The following is a 7,404-nucleotide window of genomic DNA, read 5'->3' as shown; positions in this document are numbered from 1 at the left end:
GGTCCCCATAGCTGTGAGGGTCTTCTTTTTGTTTGGATTTGAGATAGGCAAATTTGGAAGATGCTTTTAGATAAGGATTGTGTGTTAGAAACTAATTCAACTTTGCTAAAATTATCTAGTGTTTGCACAATGAATCTCCTTTTTCACAGATTTGTGCTAATGTATTGTTAGGATGTACAGCTGTAAGGTCAACTTTACAATCCTTGTGTTTCATAACACATAACAATGTGATGCATTTCCTTGAATGCCTTTACGTTGGTCTTGAAACCGTCTTGAGGCAGGAATCAGCAATCTGTCCTACCCCCTAAAATGAAACTAACTTTAAACCCCTTGTCAAAGAAAGACTATTTCTGTGTCTTTTTCTTCTCTTTCTTTACTCTATTTTTTCTTAGCAATTAGCCTATTTATCTCAAATTGTGTTCTCCACTTAGCAAAACAAAACAAAAAAATCTTATCTGCAAAACTATAGTCTGAGAGAAGTATAAATCACAGCAGTGTGACAAGAAGCAGGCATGTCGAGGATTGCTGGCACCATTCTCTTTGCAGTTGTACGATCTTTAACATGAGAAGGAAAAAAAAAGTGCTACTGGAGACCAGGTTCCACCAAAATGATGGAAAACACCAAAAAAGCAGAAAATCTTGAAATTCATGAGATGTATAATCTAAATTAGGAGATAAGCAAAGGGAATTCCTACAACAATTAGGAGGTGATGGTGCAAGACATTACTGGTGCAATTTATTTCTACTCCAGATAAAAGCAGAATAAAAGTTCTCAGAAGGGAAGTCTTCAAAAATAAAACATGAAAACAGAGAACTTATGTCTGATGAAATATTATTCTGACAACTGGCAAGTGTGTGAAAATTAGCAATAAATATAAGTAAAAATGAAATAAATGAAAACAGGCAGGAATCAGAGATGCCAGGTGGCCTAGATAGGGATTCCCGATTATGGCAAAGTGAAGAGGCTGGCAAATATTCTCCCACTAAAATAAGTATGAAACTGGACACATTTAAGTATAAACAGACAAACCACACATATTTCAGGTCTCTGGAAATTAAACAAATACAAACAACAAATTGAGAATTTATTAATTAAAAAAAATCACTGAACTTCAGTTAAGCACGATGGAAGTCTGTGCCATTCTTGTCTAGGGCGATTTCCATCCAATCCTTCAGTCATTTGGCATGACGGTTCTGTCTGGTGGGGCTAGTCATAAAACTATTAAGAGCAGCTTTGCTGCTGCAGAGGCTGACTTGATTTGGAGTGCAGAGCAAAAAACTCCCATATCCAAATAGGAAAAGAATAATGAAAGCCATAATACTACAATACAAGCCTGAAGTTGTTATCCTTGGTGGGGTGAGCAACAGAACCGAGAGCACCGTAGAAGAGCTAGCTGAGGTCTTCACAACACATCACTGGCAGACTGGAAGGCCATGCATATGTACAGAGAAGACCTGTAAGGACACTGCAGGAAGTAAAAGTCTGATATGTGGATGTGCTCCCATTGCACAAACAGATCCATCAATGGGGTATAAGCCCTACTGGCTCAAGGTGCTGGAGCACAACATCTGGCTAGTCTTGGGCTGACCACTAAGCTATACATACTCTGTTGATCCCCAATTTAGTCTGATGGAGAAAAAGCAAGAGAAGACACTAATTATTGTAGCAAATTCAAGAATAAAAGCACATCACTACCACCCCTCAAAAATTAAAATAATTGTAAGAAAATATTATCAGTTATGTAATGGCCTTCTTTGTCTCTTTTGATCTTTGTTAGTTTAAAGTCTGTTTTATCAGAGACTAGGATTGCAACCCCTGCCTTTTTTTGTTTTCCATTTGCTTGGTAGCTCTTCCTCCATCCCTTTATTTTGAGCCTATGTGTGTCTCTGCACGTGAGATGGGTTTCCTGAATACAGCACACTGATGGGTCTTGACTCTTTATCCAATTTGCCAGTCTGTGTCTTTTAATTGGAGCATTTGTCCCATTTACATTTAAGGTTAATATTGTTATGTGTGAATTTGATCCTGTCATTATGATGTTAGCTGGTTCTTTTGCTCATTAGTTGGTGCAGTTTCTTCCTAGCCTTGATGGTCTTTACAGTTTGGCATGTTTTTGCAGTGGCTGGTACTGGTTGTTCCTTTCCATGTTTAGTGCTAATATCCAGAATCTGCAATGAACTCAAACAAATTTACAAGAAAAAAAAAAACAACCCCATCAAAAAGTGGGCGAAGGATATGAACAGACACTTCTCAAAGAAGACATTTATGCAGCCAAAAGACACATGAAAAAATGCTCATCATCACTGGCCATCAGAGAAATGCAAATCAAAACCACAGTGAGATACCATCTCACACCAGTTAGAATGGCGATCATTAAAAAGTAAGGAAACAACAGGTGCTGGAGAGGATGTGGAAAAATAGGAACACTTTTACACTATTGGTGGGACTGTAAACTATTTCAACCATTGTGGAAGTCAGTGTGGCGATTCGTCAGGGATCTAGAACTAGAAATACCATTTGACCCAGCCATCCCATTACTGGGTCAAATGATTATAATCATTTGATTTATAATCCCAAATGATTATATCCCAAATGATTTATAATCCCAAATGATTATAAAACATGCTGCTATGAAGACACATGCACACGTATGTTTATTGCAGCACTATTCACAATAGCAGATTTGGAACCAACCCAAATGTCCAACAATGATAGACTGGATTAAGAAAATGTGGCACATATGCACCATGGAATACTATGCAACCGTAAAAAATGATGAGTTCATGTCCTTTGTAGGGACATGGATGAAGCTGGAAGCCATCATTTTCAGCAAACTATCACAAGGACAAAAAACCAAACACTGCATGTTCTCACTCATAGGTGGGAATTGAACAGTGAGAACACATGGACACAGGAAGGGGAACATCACACACTGGGGCCTTTTGTGGGGTCGGGGGAGTGGGGAGGGATAGCATTAGGAGATATACCTAATGTTAAATGACGAGTTAATGGGTGAAGCACACCAACATGGTACATGTATACATATGTAACAAACCTGCACATTGTGCACCTGTACCCTAAAACTTAAAGTATAATTTAAAAAAAGAAAATATTGTCAACAATTTTATGTCAGCAAATTAGACATTTTAAGGGAAGCAGACATTTTCCTAGCACAAACTACTGAAACTGACTCTAAAAGAAATAGAAAACTGAAATAGACCAACAAAAAATAAATTAAATTAGTAATTAAAAATTCACTAAAAAAAACCGCAGGCCCAGATATCTTCACAAGTGAATTCTAACAGACATTCTAACAAACATTAAGTAAGAAATAATAGCAACCCTTCACAAATTCTACCAGAAAATAGAAGATAGTTGGCATTTCACATTCCATGAAACCAGTATTATCCTGAGAGGAAAGGCTCATGAAGATATCTCACGAAAACAAAACTGCAGATGAAACCTTTGTTGAAAACAAATGCAATTTTTCTTTGAAAAATTAGCAAACAAAATCCAGCAACATAAAAAGATGTACCATGACCAAGTGGGATTTATCCTAGAAATGCAAGGTTGTCTTAACATCTGTATATAAATCAATGTAATACACCATATTAATAAGGCAAGGTATACAAAATGCATGGTCATCTCAGGAAACAGAAAAATCAATTGAAAAAAATATCCTGCACCCATAAATAAAAACTCTCCACAAATTGGGAATAGCAGAGAACTTTCTCAGAGTGCTAAAGGACATTTACAGAGGCCTATACTTAACATCATAAATTGCTAAAAAATAGTGCTTTGTTCCTAAAATCAAGAATAAGGTAAAGACATCTATTCTTACCCATTTTGCTTAATATTATACTAGAGACTCTGACCACCGCAATCAGATAAGGCAAAGAAATTAAAGGCATATAGATTGAAAAGGAAGAACTAAAACTTTTTTTTGAAGACAACGTAATCTTGAACATAGAAACTCCTAGGAAATCTAAAATACAAACCAAAAAACTAGAACTAAAAAGGAAGTTCAACAAGGTCACAAGATATAAGATAAGTGTGCAAAAATAAATGTTTTTTTCTTTATTCTAGTAATGAACAATTGGAAAATGAAATTCCATTCCTAACAGCATCAGAAAGAATAAAATACTCAGCTGGGCCCAGTGGCTAATGCCTGTAATCCCTGCACTTTGGGAGGCCGAGGCAGGTGGATCGCTTGAGGTCAGGAGTTTGAGACCAGCCTGGCCAACATGGCAAAACCCCATCTCTACTAAAAATACAAAAATTAGCTGAGTGTGGTGGCAAGCGTCTGTAGTCCCATCTACTCAGGAGGCTGAGGCAGGAGACACTCTTGAATCTGTGAGGTGGAGGTTGAGATGGTGCCACTGGACTGTAGCCTAGGTGACAGGGTAAGACTCTGTCTCAAAATAAATAAATAAAGTAACATAAAATAAAATAAAATACTGAGAAATAAATGTAACAAAAGTTCGAGACTTATTCACAGAAAACCACAAACCATTGCTGCTGAGAAATAGTAAGACTGAAATAAATGGAGACATATTATGTTCTAAGACTGAGAGGCTCAATATTGTTAAGATGATAATTCTCTGTAGATTCAACACATTTTCTCTCAAAAATCCCATCAGGCTTTTACTTTTTTTTTTTGTAGAAATTGACAAGCTGCTCCTAAAATTATATGGAAACACAAAGAACTAAGACTAGTCAATACAGTTTTGAAAAAGAAAAACAAATTTGGATGACTCAGAATACCCATTTATAAAACTTACTGTTAATCCATAGTAATCAATATGATGGAGTATTTGGGTAAGGATAGACATATGAATCAATGAGACAAAATTGAGAGTTGAGAAATAAAACTTTCCCTTTATGGTCACTTAATGTTCAGCGAATGTGCCAAGGCAGTTCAATGGGGGAAAGGAGACTGTTTTCAACAAATAACTGACTCTAGGACAACTAGGTGTCCACCTATTCAAAAAAAGTGAACTTAGACTCTTATCTCAAACCATACATATAAATTAACTCAAAATAGCGAATACATCTAAACTTAGGAACTAAAACTATAAATATCTAGAATAAAACACTGGAGGAAATCTTTGTGACTTTGGATTAGGCAAAGATTTTTAAGATGTGATACCAAAAGAAAAAAAGACAATAACATGGACTTAATAAAATTAGAGATATGTGCTCTTTTTGTTAGTTTTCCAGGCTGTATAACAAATTGACACAAATTTAGTGGCTTAAAACAACACATACTTATTCTACTATTATTTCTGTGAGTCAGGAATCAGGGCATAGCTCAATTGGATTCACTGCTTAGGGCTGCAGTGAAGGTGTCACCAGGACTCAGGTCTCATATGAGACTCGACTAGGAAAGGTCCATTTCCCGGATTGTTGGCAACATTCAGTACTGGGGTCATAGGGCTCATGGCATCTCACTTTTTCAAAGGCAGGAAGACATGAATTATTATAGCAAATTCAAGAATAAAAGAGGATGGAAAGAGAGAGACAAAGAGGAGATAGAAAAATGGCAAGATATGTGCTACACTTTTATGTAATCATGTTCCTGGAACCACCTTTGCTGCATCCCATTGGTTAGAAGCCAATCACAAAGGGTTCAACACACTCAAGGGGAGGAATTATACCAAATCACCAATACCAGGAGACAGAGTTATGAGAGCCATCTTCAAGTCTGTTCACTACACTCTTCCAAAAGCAACAGTATGAAAATAAAAAAAGATAAGCCACAAACTTGGAGAAAATATTTGCAAAGCACACATCTTAGAGGTTGGCAAACTATGGCCTGAAGGCTAAATTTGTCCTATGATCTGTTTTGGTAAGGCTCATAAGCTAAGAATGGTTTTTACAGTTTTAAAGTGTTTAAAAAAGCATATGCAAAAGGGATCCTTTGTAGCCTGCAAAACATAAAATATTTATTATCTGTTAATTGACAGAAAAAATGTGTGAGCCCCTGATAGAACTGTTAAAGAACTTATATCCAGAATATATAAGAAACTTTTACAAATCATTAATAAGAAGACAACTTTCTTAAAAATGGTTGTTTTAGGCTGGGCGCAGTGGCTCACACCTGTAATCCCAGCACTTTGGGAAGCTGAGGCAAGAAGATCACTTAAACCTAGGAGTTTGAGACTAGCCTGGGAAACAAAGTGAAAGCCCCATCTCTAAAAAAAATTAAAACAACAACAACAACAACAACAACAACAACAACAACAAAAACTTAGCCGAGTGTGGTGACATGTACCTGTAGTTGTAGCTACTTGGAAGGCAGTCTGAGATGGGAAGATCGCTTGATCCCAGGAGCTGGAAGCTTCAGTGAGCTATGATTACACCACTGCACTCCAGCCTAGGCAACAGAGCAAGACCCTATCTTATAAAAATAATAAAATAAAATAAAGGGTGTTTTAGGCAGAATTCACCCCCTTGCCTGGAATGTCCATGCCCTAATTCTTCTGTTGAATATGTTATGCAACATAGCATAAGGAATTTTTGCTGATGTAATTCAGGTTAGTTATAGACTTTAAGACTGGGATACTATCCTAGGTTATCTGGGTGGTCTCAATTTAATAATGCTAACCTTTAGAAGCTAGAGACAGAAAGATGAGGTAGAAAGAGATGAGCTAGCTAGAAAGATACAAATGATCTTTTCTTTACCTAGAAAAGGTAAAATAGAGTCAGAGAGAGATTCAAAGTGTGAGAGGCACACAACTCCTTGTTGCTGGAGGTAGCCACATAGAAAGTAAAAGAAGAAATCCAGGTAGCCTTTAGGAGCAAAGATTGGTCCCTAGATGATAGCCAGCTAGGCAATGAAGATGTTAGTCCTAGATAAGCACAAGGAACCAAATGAAGCCAACAACCTGAGCAAGCTTGAGAGAGGTTTCTTTTCCAGAGCCTCTGGTAAGTCCCACTGAGACCTTAATTTGTCTTATGAAACCCTAGGCAGAAAATGCTGCTGAGCTCACCTGGACTTCTGTCCTACAGAAACTGTGAGATGATAAATTTGTATTGGTTGAAGCAACCAAATTTGTGTTAATTTGTTATGGCAGCAATAAAAAACCAATACAGTGGGTAACAGATTTGAACAGATATTTCACCAAAAAGATTATACTAATGGCTAATAAGCCTACAAAAACATGCTCAAAATAATTAGTGATTAGGAAAATGTGAATTAAAATGAGATACTGCAATGTACCCATTAAATGGCTAGAAAAAAAGACTGACGACATCAAGTGTAGGTGAGGACAGGGAGTAACTGGAACTCTCATACATTGCTTTTGGGATGGTAGAATGAGACAGCTACTTTGGAAAAAGGTTAGCAGTTTTTAAAAAGTGAGACATTGTGCAATTGAGAAATTCCATGCCTAGATATCTAC

Source organism: Homo sapiens, chromosome 2 (genome assembly GCF_000001405.40).
Source record: "Homo sapiens chromosome 2, GRCh38.p14 Primary Assembly".
Taxonomy (NCBI): Eukaryota; Metazoa; Chordata; class Mammalia; order Primates; family Hominidae; genus Homo; species Homo sapiens.
The sequence above is the reverse complement of the archived record's forward strand: the minus strand, read 5'-3'. Positions refer to the sequence as shown.